The sequence below is a fragment of the Homo sapiens genome, chromosome 2 (genome assembly GCF_000001405.40).
Source record: "Homo sapiens chromosome 2, GRCh38.p14 Primary Assembly".
NCBI lineage: Eukaryota > Metazoa > Chordata > Mammalia > Primates > Hominidae > Homo > Homo sapiens.
The window spans coordinates 73,595,142-73,612,189 of NC_000002.12; the positions used below are offsets into that span (position 1 = coordinate 73,595,142).

At 41.5% G+C, this 17,048-nt stretch overlaps 1 protein-coding gene across 2 annotated transcripts in view, besides 3 other annotated features; it reads left to right on the forward strand.

Annotated features, from left to right (window-relative positions):
• ALMS1 (ALMS1 centrosome and basal body associated protein) overlaps positions 1-14,778 on the forward strand; it is a 224,162-nt gene extending 209,384 nt beyond the window's left edge. Inside the window, 7 exon segments of one of the 2 annotated variants that reach the window (NM_015120.4) lie at positions 4,260-4,380; positions 5,537-5,740; positions 6,054-6,295; positions 7,044-7,227; positions 8,100-8,163; positions 13,334-13,433; positions 14,427-14,778. In NM_015120.4, the coding sequence (NP_055935.4) occupies positions 4,260-4,380; positions 5,537-5,740; positions 6,054-6,295; positions 7,044-7,227; positions 8,100-8,163; positions 13,334-13,433; positions 14,427-14,471 (960 nt within the window). In that variant the 3' untranslated portion in view covers positions 14,472-14,778. 2 annotated transcript variants of the gene reach the window in all.
• Positions 5,888-6,842: an enhancer, noted in NCBI's record as "H3K4me1 hESC enhancer chr2:73828156-73829110 (GRCh37/hg19 assembly coordinates)". NCBI's record gives its function as "activates a minimal SCP1, AML or CMV promoter by ChIP-STARR-seq in naive H9 embryonic stem cells {active_cell/tissue: H9 hESC(naive)}" and the evidence as "EXISTENCE:reporter gene assay evidence [ECO:0000049][PMID:30033119]".
• Positions 5,888-7,427: a biological region, named in NCBI's record as "BRD4-independent group 4 enhancer GRCh37_chr2:73828496-73829695".
• Positions 6,228-7,427: an enhancer, noted in NCBI's record as "BRD4-independent group 4 enhancer chr2:73828496-73829695 (GRCh37/hg19 assembly coordinates)". NCBI's record gives its function as "activates an origin of replication core promoter dependent on BRD2, P300/CBP, MED14 and CDK7 cofactors, and independent of BRD4, by STARR-seq in HCT116 cells {active_cell/tissue: HCT116}" and the evidence as "EXISTENCE:reporter gene assay evidence [ECO:0000049][PMID:35650434]".

The window sequence follows — 17,048 nt, forward strand, 5'->3', positions numbered from 1 at the left end:
CCTTCCTACTCCTGTTCCCCAGCACCCAGCCCTCCTTCGCAGAGGTATACAATAAAATTTCATCCATTTTAAGTGTACAGTTAACTTTTAGTAAATTTACAGAGTTTTGCAATCATCACCAAAATCCAGTTTTAGAACATTTCTGTCGTTACCAAAAGGTGCCCTTGTACCTCTTTGCAGTCAATCCTTGTTCCCAGCCCCAGGCAACCTCTCATCTGCCTTCTGTCTCTTCTGGAGATTTTATGTATATAGCATCAGATGTGGTCTTTTGCATCTGCCTTTTTTTGTTAACATCATGATTTCAAGGTTCATCCGTGCTGTAGTATGCATCAGTGGTTCCTTTTTGTTGCTGAATAGTGTTCCATTTTATGGATATACCACATTTTGCTTATCTTTCAGTTGATGGACATTTGGATTGTTTGATTTTTTTGGATGTGAATGCTGCTATTAATACTTCTGTAAAAGTTTTGTGTGGGCATACATTTTCATTTCTTCTGGGTTTTTACTCAGGAGTGAAATTGGTAGGTCATATGATAGGTTTATGTTTAACTTTATCAGAAATTGCCTAAGTGTTTTCCAGAGTGGCTGTATCATTTTACATTCTCGCCTGCAATGTGTGAGGGTTTCGGTTTCTCCACTTCCTTGTCAACACTTGCTATTGTCCACCTTTTTATTTATAGCCATTCTAGTGGGTGTGAAGTGGTATCTTATTGTGAGTTTAATTTGAATTTCCCTAATGACTGATGATGTTGAACATTTTGTGTGCTTATTGGCCACTCTTACATCTTCTTTGATGAAGTGTCTTTTTAAATCTTTTTGCCCATTTTAAAATTAGGTTATCTTCCTACTGAGTTGAAAGAGCTCTCTATATACTCTGGTTACAAGTCCTTTATCAGATGTATTTTTTGTAAGTAACTTCTCCCAGGCTGTGGCTTTTGAATTGCAAATGGTTTTAATACAGTAATGATGAAGTCCCATTTAAACTGTTTGTCTTTTATGGATTGTGGATTGTACTTGGGGTGTTATATTCAAGAACTGTTTGCCTAACCAAAGTCATAGAGATATTCTCCTATGTTTTTCATTAAAAGTTTATTGTTTTAATTATTATGTTTAGGTCTGAAATCCATTTTTAGTGCATTTTTTGTGTACGGTGTGTTGTCTAACTTCATCTCTTTGCATAGGGATATTTAATTGTCCCAGCATCATTTGTTCAAAAGAGTATTATTTTCTCCAATTAGTTGCTTTGGCCCTTTTGTTGAACACTAATTGATCACATATGTAAGGCTTCATTTGGAATTTTCATTCTGTTCCATTGATATGTCTGTATCTTTTTTTTTTTTTTTTTCTTAAGACGGAGTCTCACTCTGTCATCAAGGCGGGAGTGCAGTGGCACAATCTCGGCACACTGCAACCTTTGCCTCCTGGGTTCAAGCGATTCTTCTGCTTCAGCCTTCCGAGTAGCTGGAACTACAGGTGCGTGCCACCACACCCAGCTAATTTTTGTATTTTTAGTAGAGACCGGGTTTCACCATATTGGCCAGGCTGGTCTCGAACTCCTGAGTTTGTCATCTGCCTGCCTTGGCCTCCCAAAGTGCTGGGATTACATGCATGAGTCACTGTGCCTGGCCAATCTAGATCTGTCCTTATATCAATGCCACAATGCCTTGATTGCTGTAACTTTATAAGATTTGAAATCAGGAAATATAAGCCCTCTACCTCTTTTTTTTTTTTTTTTTTCTTTTTTTTTTTTCAGTAACTTTGGCCCTTGTGGTCCTTGCCATTTCTATATAAAGTTGAGATCATTTTGTAGATTTCTTGAAAAATGCTTGCTGGAATTTTGATAGAGATTGTGTAGAATCAACAGATTAATTTGGGGATTATTGCCATCCTAACAATTTTGAGACTTCCAATCCATGTATGGTGAGTGTCTCACCATTTATATTGACTTCTGATGTCTCCCAGCAATGTTTTCTAGTTTTTAATGTGCAAACCTTGCACTTCTTTTGTTAACTTTATTCCTAAATATTTTATTCTTTTTGATGCTATTGTGAGTGAGATAGTTTTCTTAATTTTATTTTCAGGTTGTCACTTGCTAGAATGTAGATATACAATTGATTTTTTTATCTTATTGATCTTATATTCTGCAACCTGGGTAACCTTGGTTATTAGTTCTAGTTCTTTGAGGATTCCTTAGTATTTTCTACAAAGAAAATCATGTCATTTGTAAATAAAACCAGTTTTACCTCTTCCTTTCAATCTGGATTCTTTTCTTTCAGAGACATTTTATAAATAAAAAAGCAAACACCTACATATACTTTTTTAGTACCTAACATGCTTTCTTCCCCTTTTTTATAGCTGCAGAGAAGGTATAATGTATTTCATATCAGTCACTTCTTTTTTATGTTCCCTTTTTTAAGGAGAAAATAAAAATATATTTTTTAACATCATTTTAGTCTCTAGTTTTATATCAGTGTTTTATATTTTACCATCTAAATCATCTGTTATTTCTAAAATGCAGATTTCGTTTCCTTTTCTAGATGGGGAAACTGACACAAAGAGGTTATGGCTTGCCTAAATAGAGACCGCTAATAAAGGGAAGACCTGAAACTGGCCTAGCTGTTTGGAATCCTGACACAGAGCTTTTTTTTTTTTTTCCCTGCATCAAAGTTGCTGCCATTCCTCCTGCCTAATGAGCAGGACTTTACAATTGCCCCTACTAAACATGCTCTGATTTAGCCCATCATTCCTGTTATTATTTGGGATCCTGACAGAGGCCCTCTCTCTGATGAGTATTGTATGTAAATTCTCCTGCTTTCCATATCTAAGACATTTATGTCTAAAATCTTAAGAAGGAATAGCCAGCACCAAACCCAGTGATTGCACACAGTAATTGCTTAGTAAATATTTGTTGTCAAATGCAAGATGTACCACTCAGTAAAGACATCTGTTTTGAAATTATATTTGGATAAGGTTGGTTCAATCAGTTATGATTCTATCAACTTGTATTATCATCCAACCCATATAACTCCATCTTGCCCTCAAAGATGCTATTAAATGTTTTGGCATTTTGTTCAAATCTAGGTATGGTATGCTATGTATTCTTTTGGTTAGCCAGTAAAGTGACCTTATGTACTAGAGAAAACAAGGCTAACCTGGCAGGGCATGCTCTGCCTGCCTGACTGAGCCTGGCTTAAATCTGCTCATCTTTTTTTTCACCAGTTCCTTGCAAATTATCTGATTCGTGATGCATCCTAAATTTTACATGTCATCAGTGTTCAGCCCACTAGTTTGCAATGCCTACCTTTCCGAAAATCAAAGTATTTCCTTTCTTCAAGTGTCTAACATAGATCTTCCTCCCCAAAATTCTGTTACAAGTTTCTTTGTGACTCTGGAATATGGTTTATCTAGTTCAAGGGATCAGATATGCTCAGTTTCCTATCCTTACCCTGGCTTTAATTTACCTCCACCAGACCTGCCTAAGTAGAAAATTCCCTAACATTTATTCAAAATATAGATTACCAGACCCCTCCCCTAGAGATTCCAATTCATTATTCTGGGTTAGCCTCCCTCTGTCCTTATTAACGATGGAGATATTAACAATGAACAAGTTTAAGAAGCACTATTTTACACTATAGTATTTGTTCAGCTATATCTTGTTAATCATTTTGTCATCCACCGACATTCCACCATCAGCTGCAATCCCTGAAATTGCCTTCATTGCTCTACTTGCTCTGAACGTAATTTAAAAGGCCTTTGGGACTCTCTAATACTTTTTGCAATGCTCTACTCATCAGGACGTCTCACGAGCCTTGTAGGTCTTTGGTGTTTGTCTTAGTATACGTGTTTGAGTCAGCTCTTAATTGGAGAGCGCTCTCTTCAGTTCATCACTCTTTTTAGCTATCTCCAGGCCTCTTTATCTCACATGAAAATTATGTGCAGGTGTCACTTCAGAATTTCATTCTGAAGATGCATCAGACTAATGTTTGGCTAGCATTCTCTTCAGAGTTTTTCCAAGCCCAGTGAAAATAGCCAGGCTTTTTTTTGTCTTACCACCTTATAACAGCTTAAGTCCTATCCACCTACAACATTCTCCCTATCACAGATACAAGGCAGCAAGTTCACAGTATCTCAAGCTTCCTCCAAATGCATCTCAACAGTTTGAATTGGATTAGAAAGAGGACTTGTTGGCTTGCTTATCCTGTGGATAACTGTGACATTGACTGCAGGTAATAATAACAAGATCTCTTTTATTTTTCTAGGTAGCAAACCATGTGATTTCTTCTGACTCTATTTCCTCTTCTGCCAGTAGTTTCCTGAGCTCAAACTCTACTTTTTGCAACAAGCAGAATGTACACATGTTAAACAAGGGCATACAAGCAGGTAATTACTTGAATCTAAACTTTTTCATTGAAATACATTGAAATGGCTCTTAAACATGTAAGATACTCAACCTCAATCATAATAAAGGACATGAAGATAAAACTATATCCAACTGCCAATTTTCATCTTGTCAGATTGGCATAAATTCAAGTTTGATGGCAAGTTTGTGGGCAAGAGTGTAGGGAAGCGGGTTCCCTTGTATATTTCAGTGGGAGTAGAAGTTGATTCACTGTGAAAGGCAATTTGAAAGTTCCTATCAAAATTACTTTCACTCAGCATTTTTACTTTTGAAATGTCTGCTATAGATATACTATGAATATGTGGAATTTAACCTATAGATATACTTGCATATGTGCAAAATAGTGTACAAAATTAACCACTAAAACATTGTTTATAGCAGGAGATTAAAGTGAATTTAGGTGTTCCTCAGTAGCTGAATGATTACATAAATTATTGTATGTCTAGATAATGAATGAAATTCTACATAGAATGAGGAAGCTCTCTCTGTACTAACATGGAAAGATTTCCAAGGCATGTAATTGATTTTAAGAAAAGGTACAGAACAGTGTATAGCATACTACAATATGAATTTTTTTTAATAAAAGAAAGAAAGGAGGGAAGAGAATTGCTTAAATGTGCAAAACGAATTCTCTGGAACCATATGGGGTTGTGAACAGAATAAATGGAGACCAGAAGTGGGAAGGAGGATTTTTAGCTATTGCCTTTCTATACCTTTTGGTTTCATAAAATAAAAATAAATAAACTTTCATCTTGATTTGTTTCTTCCCCTCAAATCCTGTCTTCTGTCAGCCTCTTCCTTACCTGCGTGACTACCAAAAGGACTCTTAAGTATTTATTGTCTTTCTAACTTGGGATCAGAGTTGAAATCCTTTACCCTTTGAACCCATATTCATTCTTCTTTCCCTCTCATACCTAAAATGAGTTACAAATAAAACCCTTTCTTTTTTCTTTGCCCTCTTTTTCCCTCCTACTCTCCCCTGTCCTTCTTTCTCTTCCTCTCTCTTCGCATCCCTCCATCCCACACAAAGGGATTGTATTTTTGAAACATTAAAAAGGGTTCACGTACTCACTTGAATAAATCTGTCAACTCAGCCTCAAGGTTACTCCCAGAGACACCTATGATCCTTCCCCTCAGGTAACTTGGAGATTGTGAACGGTGCCAAAAAACACACTCGAGATGTTGGGATAACTTTCCCAACTCCAAGTTCCAGCGAGGCTAAATTGGAAGAGAACAGTGATGTGACTTCTTGGTCAGAAGAAAAACGTGAAGAGAAAATGCTCTTTACCGGTTATCCTGAGGACAGAAAGTTAAAAAAGAACAAGAAGAATTCCCATGAAGGTCAGTTTCTCATTCCAGATCTTGTAGTAGAGAAACTAGTGAATTTCAAGTCCCCTGCGATGCTGACTCTGTGTTTCCAAGTGACTCTATGTGGTCCCCACCTACCCCCAGCCACAACCTTGTCAGGTTTTCAGAGTCCAGCATGGCAGTTACACAGTCATCCCTGCAGCAAAACCAGACTCAAGGGCACCCTGTGGCCTCTGACAGCTGAGACCCCTGAGAACCTGTATTATATGCATATCCTGGATAAGAGCTGGGTGGGGCTGTAAAAAAGTGAAAAATCTGTGTTCCTTCTAAAAACTGTTTCCTGTAGGAGTTTCCTGGTTTGTTCCTGTGGAAAATGTGGAGTCTAGATCAAAGAAGGAAAACGTGCCTAACACTTGTGGCCCTGGCATCTCCTGGTTTGAACCAATAACCAAGACCAGACCCTGGAGGGAGCCACTGCGGGAGCAGAACTGTCAGGGGCAGCACCTGGACGGTCGGGGCTACCTGGCAGGCCCAGGCAGAGAGGCTGGCAGAGACCTACTGAGGCCATTTGTGAGAGCAACCCTTCAGGTGCAGTGACGTTGACTTAACTTTAATGCTACGTGTAGGGAGAAGAAGGGCAAGGCGCAGAGAAGCTGGCTCTGTGACTTGGTGAGCTGAGGTGTAGGCCTGAGACGCTCTTTTCCAGCACCTCCGCAGTTCACCTGTTTTCACGCACGAGGGTTGGGTTTCTCATCATCTGTCAAAGGCTGCCTTACTCCTAACCATAGATGGTGCATCACCGTCGGGATCTGGGGACAAGGCCGCAGGAGGGAGGATTTGCATCTCTGCTTATTGGGCCTGTGGGTCCCTGTGTGTGGAGGGCCCGGAGGCCTGACGCTTGTGCGGCCTCATGTGTGTTCCTCCATGTCCGTAGCTCCTGTTTCTGCTCCATGTCGGATTTAAAGGAAACCAGGTCTCTTCTGATGTGTCCCTTGGGGGATAAAGGAAATGTTATTAATGATGTATTTGTCTGAATAGATCTTTAAAATAGCACTGTGGGAAGAGCTGTATTGCACTGACATTTCAAAGAGTTGTAATCGCCATAGTCTTAGTTCCTGGCCTATGCTGAAGGCATGTCTTTGATCCCTGCGGTTTCCAAGCTGCAGCTCTCCCCCATAGAGAGATGTCAGAGGATTCTTCAACGCTAGATACTTTCTCGGCATTTGAATCAGACTTCCCCAAACCTCTTGGGCAGGTGGTGTGTCTCCAGGCATATGGAGAGTAGATTGCATCATTAATCTGAGGCTGGGCATTTTCTCTTTTTTTTTTCTTTTAGGAATCGCTTCAGTTTCACAGACCTGACTTCATCTCCCGCTCTGGGGAGCGGATAAAGCGCCTGAAGTTAATAGTCCAGGAGAGGAAGCTGCAGAGCATGTTACAGACCGAGCGGGATGCACTATTCAACATTGACAGGGAACGGCAGGGCCACCAGAATCGCATGTGCCCGCTGCCCAAGAGAGGTACGCCCTGCCCGTTCACTTTCCTGTGAGTGGAATAGAGAAGGCAAGGTCTGCTGCTCTGCTGCAGAGCCCTGCTAAAGGCCAGCCCAGGCCAGTTACCTGGGCAGACAGTGACCTTTTGCTTGCCAAGACTCAAACCTTCTTAGCTAGCAGAATCTCCCCAACTTAGCCGTCAGCACATTCATGATCCAAGTAAGCCCAGTTACTCTAAGCCCTGTCACTGCATCGTAAACCAGCTCTGTGTCTGTGAGCAAGTTAGTTCCAAAAGTATATTGATTTTTCCTGAAAAGATGGGGCTGATTCCAGGCTTGCCTACCTCTTAGGATGGTAATAATAATAATAATAAACACATAGTCCTTACATCTTGCCCAGGCACTGTTCACATTAGCGCTTACAGCACTCTCAGTAGGTACTATTAATATATCTACTTTATAGTGAGAAAACTGAATCAAAGGGAGATTAAGTACCTCTCCCAAGATGACATACCTAGTAAGTAAAAGCTAAGATTTGAACCCAGGTGTGCTCCTCTGGAGTCTGCATTCTTAACAATTATGATAAGCAGATCTTGATAAAATAATGAAAGCTGTGAAAACTACAAAGCACTACCTAATTCTTTTATCCAACTTTAGAAACCGGCCAGATTTTTAATTCAAAGCCTAGTCTTTGCTACAGAGTGTTAGGTCCTTAGGGCCTTAGGCTGCTGTCCCTGTTACCCTAGTCTTACACTGGCTTGCCTTGGTCATTGCTCCCCACTCAGTCTTGCCAGCTCAGGGTAGGGGCACCAAGTCCTAGCAGCTCCCTCTCCCAGCTCTTGCACCACACCCTCTGGGTTAAGTCACTGTCCACTGAAAACCCTTTCTTCTCTTGCCTAGTCTTCCTGGCTATCCAGAAGAACAAGCCTATCAGCAAGAAGGAAATGATTCAGAGGTCCAAACGGTAAGACCAAGAAAACAAGAGTACGTATACAAGTGTAAACCAGGCCACCAAGTGGTCGGGAGCTCTGGCTTGCACCCAGAATAAATGTATTATACTCAAGTTTAAACATTATGAGAAAGTTGTGAGAGTCATTTCTCACTTATGGCACTGAAAAAAAAAAAAGCACATCATGGTATGAATGACTCATATGCAAAAGATGAAAAACTTCTCACTAATTTGCATGTCTTAGGCTCCTCTTTATTAGAAACCTAAATGTAAATAAAGAATATTTTAGGCCAGGTACGGTGGCTCATGCCTGTAATCCCAGCACTTAGGGAGGCCGAGGTGTGCAGATCACATGAGGTTAGGAGTTCGAGACCAGCCTGGCCAACATGGTGAAACTCCATCTCTACTCAAAATACAAAAATTAGCTGGGTGTGGAGGCACACGCCTGTAATCCCAGCTACTCAGTAGGCTGAGCCGGGAGGATCTCTTGAACCTGGGAGGCAGAGGTTGCAGTGAGCTTAGATGGTGCCACTGTACTCCAGTCTGGGCGACAGAACGAGACTCCATCTCAAAAAAATTAAAAAAAAAGATTATTTTGAAATAAAATTAAATATGTATTTAGACCACATCTTTTATTCTAGCAATCCCATTTCTAGGAATTGATCCCATAGGGTGAGAAAGAACAGTGTTCTCCAGAACACAGTAAGTTAAACTTTTTTAAAAGATTAAAATTTCGAAGCATGTGAACACTGTTTCCATTTGTGGTCTTTAAAAATAAGTATTTGTGCCTATGTAGATGTGTGTACTTTTATATGCATAGAATATTTCTGGAAGACAGAAAAAACTGGTAATACTGATTGCCTTTGGAAAGGATAACAGTAGATTTTTTGACTTTTTATAATTTTTGAATTTTGTGCCATGATGAACGAACATTAGCTACTCGTTAATTAATTCATTTGAGTGTTGAATGTGGTGGTACATTTCTGTAATCCTACCTACTCAGGAGTCTTAGGTGAGAGAATCTCTTAAGCCCAGGAATTTGAGACTGCAGTGAGCTGTGATCACACCATTACGCTCCGGCCTGGGTAACAGACTGAAACTCTGTATTCAAAAAATAATAAATACAATTTTTAAAAATTAATTCATTTCAGATATTCATATATTGATCATGAGAATGCCAGAGAATAAGGTTGACTTTTTTAGGCATTCATTGGACACTTGCTTTAATAAGAATAGTTTCTTAGTTGGCATAATGCTTCTGAAGTAATGGTACTTTAAAATAATTTATCTCATGAACTTTAAGCATTCCTCTTGAAATCTTGTTTTTACTCTATCTAGTCAGCCCTTATAGGCAATCCAAAGGGATGCTTTGGATGCTTTAGTCCAGTGGTTCTCAGAGAGTGGTCTGTGGAGTCCTGGAAGTTGCTGAGACCCTTTCAGGCAATTTGCAAGCTCAAAACTAATTTCAGAATGACACCAGGATGTTCTGTGCCTTTTTTGCTGTGTTGGCTATTTGCACTGATGATGCAAGAGAAATGGGGAGGAGTAAAATCACTGGTGTCTTACCACTATTCAAGACAGTGGCACCAAACTGTAGTAGTCTAGTAGGCATTGTATCCTGCACAGCCTCCCGCCAGGAGTGTGATGGAAGAACAAGGAAGCAGTGTAAATGGAGGTACACGGGAAGCACTTCCTTTGCACCGTGAAGGATGATGACTGTTTTAAGGAAAAGCACTTATGCCATGGTTTGTGTCGTGAGCTGAACCAGCTGCCTTTTTCATGGAACATGACTTTTACTTGAAAGAGTAACTGACAGAAAACCAATTATTCTGACTTGTGTTTGTAGCAGACATTTTCTTGAAAATGAAGAAGTGGGTCTGTGACTTCAGGAAAATGTCTGACAGTATCTGTTGCCAAAGAAAATGTGAGTTTTCAAGCCAACAATAGAAATCTAGAAAACTTGTATTCACCTCCATGGGCTTGATGACCTCTTAGTACTTAGACCTTTCTGACGAGATAAGCGGTGGCATTAACAAATGTGATGTTTTTCATGTTATCTAAATACATTTGTCAACATTTGGAAGATCTGCACAACTCCCTGGACCAGGATTTTCCAAATGATTGTTGCTTTTTGTTACAAAATCAGGGAATAGATAGAAGATTCATTCAAATAATGAAAGATAGACTGATGGATTTTTATGTAACAGAATAGGAAAAGTTTATGACATGTTTTCAGATTCCACCTTGCAACTAATTTTTAAGAAGCTACCACTTGTCAGCCAGGCACAGTGGCTCACGCCTATAATCCCAACACTTTGGGAGTCCAAGGTGGGCAGATCACTTGAGGTCAGGAGTTCAAGCCTGGCCAACATGGTGAAAGACTTCTCTACTAAAACTACAAAAATTAGCTGGGCATGGTGGTGGGTACCTGTAATCCCAGCTACTCTGGAGGCTGAGGCAGGAGAATTGCCTGAGCCTGGGAGGCAGAGGTTGCAGTGAGCCAAGATCGCGCCACTGCACACCAGCCTGGGCAACAAGTGCGAAACTCTGTCTCAAAAAAAAAAAAAGAAAGAAAAGAAACTATCACTTATCAAGTTTGGGTGTAGTATCAAAGAAGATCAAGAGTTACCTGAAAAGAGTATTGCAGTAACTTCTCTCGTTTCCAAGTACGTGGAAAATCTATATGTAAGCTGGATTTTTTAATGTATACTTTAACCAGAGCAGGTTGGGACAGCAGACTTAATACAGAAGCAGATACAAGTCCAGCTGTCTTCCATTAAACCAGACATTAAAGAGTTTTCTAAAAAATGTAAACAGTGCCACTCTTCTCACTAACATTTTTTTGTTTTCAAAAAGTCTTTATTTCCCATTAAAAATACAGGTTTCTTATGTTAGCCTGTCACAGGCTTATTGTTATTTCAAGTGAATAAAAAAATAAAGTTTTGCTTAATTTTTAATTTTAATTTTTGATACAGTATCAATAGATAAAACCTACATTGGGATCTTCAGCATTTGGGAGTGTGAAGGGGGCCCTAAGTCTAAAATATTTTTGAACCACTGCTTCATTCTAACTCAGTCACAAAATGGAATTAGGGGAAATCATACAGGGTTTGTTGTGGGGCAGCTACTAATACTCTCACCTCAGCAAGAGCAGTCCCTGCTGTAAGGGACTAGGAAGCTTGCCTACAGGAAGACAGCCAGGACATCTCCTAAAATGTATCAATGCTTTCGACGAGAAATATATGAGTGGATTTAGTGCCCATCTTCTGGAGAGACTTTTTAAACTGTTTTTAAACTGGTACATTTTCATTAGGTTGCTTCTGTTCATGTTTATTTCTTGTGTGGCCTCTTTTCAAGGGAGTGATCTGTTTCCATCTGAGAATCTTCAATATCATCTAGTAACTCTTAATATTTAGGAAACTACAACCCAGAGAGGGGAAGTAACCCAGCAAGTTAGGGTCACAGCTGGAGTTAGAGCCTGGTGTTTGGCCTTCAATTGTGTCCTATTAAGGATTTGTGTCTCTGGAGCCTGTGTTACTCATCTTTTGTTATCACCTATCTCTACCAAAGATATTTAAAGGTTCCCGTGAGAAGGAAAGATTTCAAGAGGAAAGAACATAGCTCTTTTATTTGGAAGCACTTGTTCCAGAGTGGCCTTCAGGAGACACCTTCACCTTCTCTAATGTGTTTCCCGCAGAGCCCTCCATGAATCTAGTGATTTTTTTTCCAGATTATAGAAAACTTTAGGAAATATAGAGAAAAGTAGAAAAAAGAAAATGAATATCACTTATCATCCTTCCATCTAATGGAGGATGGGAATTTTTGGTGGGAGGCGTGGGAATTTTGCAGAGACCTGCATAACACACACTTTTTTCCCTCAAATTGTTAATCATACTGCATATACAGGTTTGTGTCTTGCTTTATTTTATTCAACATTATGTTGTGAACCTTTCCTATGACACTAAAAATTCTGAAACTTTTGTTTGGTATACATGAAACATACTTGTAACATATACATTCCATTATACTTCATAATCTATTTAACTGTTGTTTTGTTGGAAACGTATTTACAATGAGAGTGCATTTATCAAATGCACATTTGTGTTTCTCCCAACTTAAAATCATTGCCACCCAACCCCTGCTAGAACAGATCCCATGTTTTTCACATGGCCACAAGATCCTCTCTGCAGCCCACCTCACCCTCACCCCCATCTGTTTCCCACCTATTCCTTTACGCTCCTTTTTGGGAAGCCTCGAGTCCATTTTTACCAACACTCATTTTCCCCACCTTGAGTGTCTTCTGTCCTTCTCCCCATTCCCTTTCTGCTCTTATCCATCATTATTATTTTTTTATTATTATTATTATTTTTGAGATGGAGTCTCACTTTATCACCCAGCTGTAGTGCAGCAGTGGCTTGATCTTGGCTCAGTGCAACCTCTGCCACCCAGGTTCAAGCGATTCTCCTGCCTCAGCCTCCTGAGTAGCTGAGATTACAGGCATCTGCCACCATGCCCACCTAATTTTTTTTTTTTTTTTTTGGTGTGTGTGGTTTTAGTAGAGACGGGCTTTCACCATCTTGGCCAGGCTGCTCTTGAACTCCTGACCTCGTGATCCACCCACCTCAGCCTCCCAAAGTGCTGGGTTTACAGGCTTCAGCCACTGCACCCAGCGCTCCTATCTATTCTTAAGACCCAACTTACCTATAATTTCCTCTCTGGAGCCTTTCCGAACCTCCTTCCACCAGACCAAGTTTCTTCTCCTCTAGAACATTTTATAGGTGTGACCATTTTAGTACTTTTCCATAATTTCACTTGTGTTTCCAAACACAATAGTAACGCTGTTCATTATCTTATATTGAAACAGTCCATTTTTGCATGTAGAGCAGAAAGTAGAAGTTCAGCTCTCCTTCATTTATCTCACTCCTTTCCCCCCTTTATCCCACTTCTTTCCACATGTAAGCACTATTAGGATTTTATTGTGTTTGTATTTATCTCCCCTTCCAGATTGTGAGCCCCGGGCTAGGGTTTTCTGTGCTGGAGTATCTAACGGGGCCCAGGGCCTTTCTGAGAGGGATGAGCTCCTGGAGAGTGGGAGGTATAGGGAGGGATGATGAGAGGAGATCTCATGACTCTGCACCCTGGTAACCTCCCCGATTTCTGTCCTTTCACTGGTGCCATTTCTAAGGATTTATGAGCAGCTTCCAGAAGTACAGAAAAAGAGAGAAGAAGAGAAGAGAAAATCAGAATATAAGTCATACCGGCTGCGAGCCCAGCTATATAAAAAGGTCAGTGGGTCCTCTGTCTAGAGTGGGATGGATCAGGTTTATTGGCGGAAAGAGAAATGGAGAAAACACGTTGCCTGTTGAGTGTGAAGTCAGAATGAACCGCATTTGAGGAATGAACTTAGAATGCACTGGACCAGTGTTGAAATTTGGAAGAAGGCATCTGTAATTAGACTTCAAATCAGGTTTAACTCCCCATCCATAATGGTGTAAGGCCCTTTCCATGCATTCGTTTGCAGTGAAACCAAATTTCACACACAGGAGTTCATTGACATATCATGGTAGAAATACCAGAATTATCAGGTTTCCATTCCAGAGTCCCAGGTGGTGATTTCATGCCCCTCATTGGTGAGTCAGATACCTTTAGAACTGTTAAACTGGAAAATGTGTAACTGCGGCATAAGAGTTGTCCACTTGGATGGTCAGAGGCCTCCAACTTGTCACCATGCCCTGCCCATTGTCCCAGTAGAGTCAGCGTTGCTGCAAGTCCAAGAACCTCACGGGGCAGGGTTGGTGTTACCAGTTAATTCTCTGAGAAACCAGACCGGCTCCTATGCCTGAAGGGCCATATACTTCACTGTAGTTGTTTCCTTCTCACCCTGTCAGTCACCAGACTGATGTGGGATGGGAGCTGCTTCTGGAGCAGGCCCCAGAACCCAGGCGGGTGCCTCAGGTGGAGGCCCCAGGCACCACACCACCTGTCTGGTGTGTCAGCATCGCAGGGCCAGGCCTCTCCTTATGCTACTGTATGTGGGAACTGATGGATTATCTGTGTCTCTATAGAAATAATAGATATTGATTACAGATCCTCTTTCCTGAACCTTTCGTGAAGTATTTTTTATATGACGACCATAGTTTCTGAAGCAGAGTAAAATGAACAAGATTTGAATAGGACCACACTGATTCTCCTTGGTGACATGGATGCAGGGAGGAGAGGCATCTGCCTCTGATGGCAGTAATATCTAACTTCTTTCCTGCCTTTCTTTTCTTCTACAGAGAGTGACCAATCAACTTCTGGGGAGAAAAGTTCCCTGGGACTGACACAAGTTTATTTTCCTCAGAGCCTTGGAATTCTATTTTATGAACCTAGAGAAGCAGAATCCTTACTTTTGTGAGTCTGGTTGAATAAAGCTTATTCTTTGTCCATGTGTATTTTAGAAATAGTAACTTCTAAAGAGTCTGGAACAAAGTGGTGATTAAAATTCCTAATGGTTTGGGAGCAATACTTTCTGCATAGTGGCCTTGTCCAATGGCCTGTGTGTTACAATGATATGATCATTTCTCAAGAATAAGTCCCTTTTTGTATGTGTTTTTATACTTTTAGAAAATAAAAACTTTAGATTAACTCATAGTAAACAATTCTTTCCCATCTGGAGAGATGCAAGGAGCTATGCATTGTCTCCACCGAGGTGTCTAAATGCATCAGTTGAGGGAAATGGGCTCTTAGAAGGAAATGTAGCCTGTATCTTTAGAAACACAATGTGCTGTAGTGGGAGCACTGTTGTGGGCTTTGAGGAGACGGTGTCTGGTTAGATGCCCACCGGGTGCACCCAGAGACTGCAGCAGGAGAGGTGTCTTGGGTCCAGAGCCTCCTTTCAGCCCCAGTCCAGCTCCCCCAGGGACTCTCTGTGTAGGCTGGGGAGAAAGGCCACTAGCCTTGGCTGATGGATCTTCCTCCACCCACACTCGGTTTTGGGATTAAAGCCTCAGACCATTTATCATTACACGTGAAACCAACACTTACAACATAAAGGACAACTTGTGAAAAAGATGAGTCAATGAATGAGATAAAGCATTTAACCCAGTAACTGGATCAGAATGTAACAGGATTTTTTTTTTTTTTTTCATGTGGCCTGGAATTATAGCTAAGGCCCAAAGTAATGGAGGAAGGTTTTCAACAGCCTCACTCTAAGTTCAGCAAACCCCAGTACAAAGATTGGCAAGGGCCAGTCATCCACCGAGAAGGCTTCCTGGGAGGCTGGATCCAAGAGCAGGCCCTGCCCTCAAGCACGGTTCAGAGCTTTCAGATCCTGCCCCCTGGGCTCCCTGCCATGAAGAGGACACTGGGAAAAGAACCCATGGTGCATGAGGTCAACTCATAGTTCTTCCCTTTCTTGCTGGGCAAGGTAATGAAGCACTTTTGGCCAATTTACCTGTAAAATGAGAGGGTTAATACCTCTAAGCCCCTCTTTACATAAACTCTAAAACAATGTGACTATTTCCACCTCTTGTGAGACATTATTATTCAGAATAGAAACAAATTGTTGTCTCAAACCTGGGTCTGCAAAGAACCCAGGGCAAGATGGAGTCTGATGAGGAATGATGAGCATGATTCTCTCTAGGCCCAAGGCTGTGGCATCCAGACACCTTCCAAGGGCAGTTAGATTTGGTCCTGGGAGGCCCAGGTGGCAGGTGCCAGCCAGCTCCTCCCATTCCCAGCCAGGGCGCACCTCCTCAGGAGAACTTGTTAGCATCTTCACTGGGTTCCTTTAAACCAGAAATCTATGGACTTGCTTTCACATTATAACAGTATTCCCCCAGGCCACCAGCCATGGGCATGTTCCCAAGGCAATGTCAACGCACAGAAGGTGGCAGGAAGGGGACATATTGTGGAGAGTCTCACAACTGCAGTCTACCTGCTTGTCCTATGCCAGGAGACCTTTGGCTGAGTGCAGGCTGAAGAATCCAGGCATCAACCTCACAATCCCAGGGACTCCCTCAGTGTCCGTTCTGCCCCAGAGCTCAGGATGGCTTCCCACACTGCACAGTTCTGTGGGGGCTGAGAGCACCTGCTACAAACCACAGAGTCACTACCTCGTGCAGCCACTCCTGCAGCCATCAGACCTCCCTGTGTGTGGGAGGACCTTGAGCCTCTTATTTTGTTTTGGTTTGGTTTTTGTTCTTGCACAGGTGCGGGAAGCCCAAGCGGAGCCTGCATCATTGCCCCTGGTTCTTAACTGTGGTGGGATTCACTTTTGAATTGCTTCATCCTAGGCCTAGATCATACCTAACCTGGGAAGCTCCGCCCTCTTCCCTCCTGGAGGTGAGACTCCGGCCTATTCAGTCAGTCCTCTTCCCTGAGGGCAGCTTCTGTTTCAGCCCCTCCCAGCAAAGACCACCAGTGCAAGTATTTTCAGGGGAGAGAATATATGAAGAAAGCAGTCTTTTAACTGTAAATCACAATGTGTTTTGTATGTTCCCAATGAGTGTTTGGAATGATCAAATGAATGATTGTTTGGAACATTGTCTGGATGTTATCAAAACAAAAACAAACCAGGATTTATACCCCTGGCAAGTAACAAATGACTTTCCATGAGAATGCAGGTTTTGACCAAAGGAGTTTTATTACTTCTCACAAGTAAGGAGGGCACTGGGAGTGTTCTCCAAAGCAATGTTTCCTGAGAGAAAATGACAGGAGGACTTTATGTGGTGTTGGAGAGGGGAGAGGGTGCATCATCGCATGTAGAGGAGGGTTCCCAGTGGCACAGATGCAGTGAGTCATGGTGCCAGCACATAGGTTGCATGTTATGGTAATGAATCTACAGGTCTCCTGAGGTGCAGGCTTTAGCTTGGTCATGAGGAAAGTTCACTGGGGTTCATCTGTAAGTTGTCAGGGTC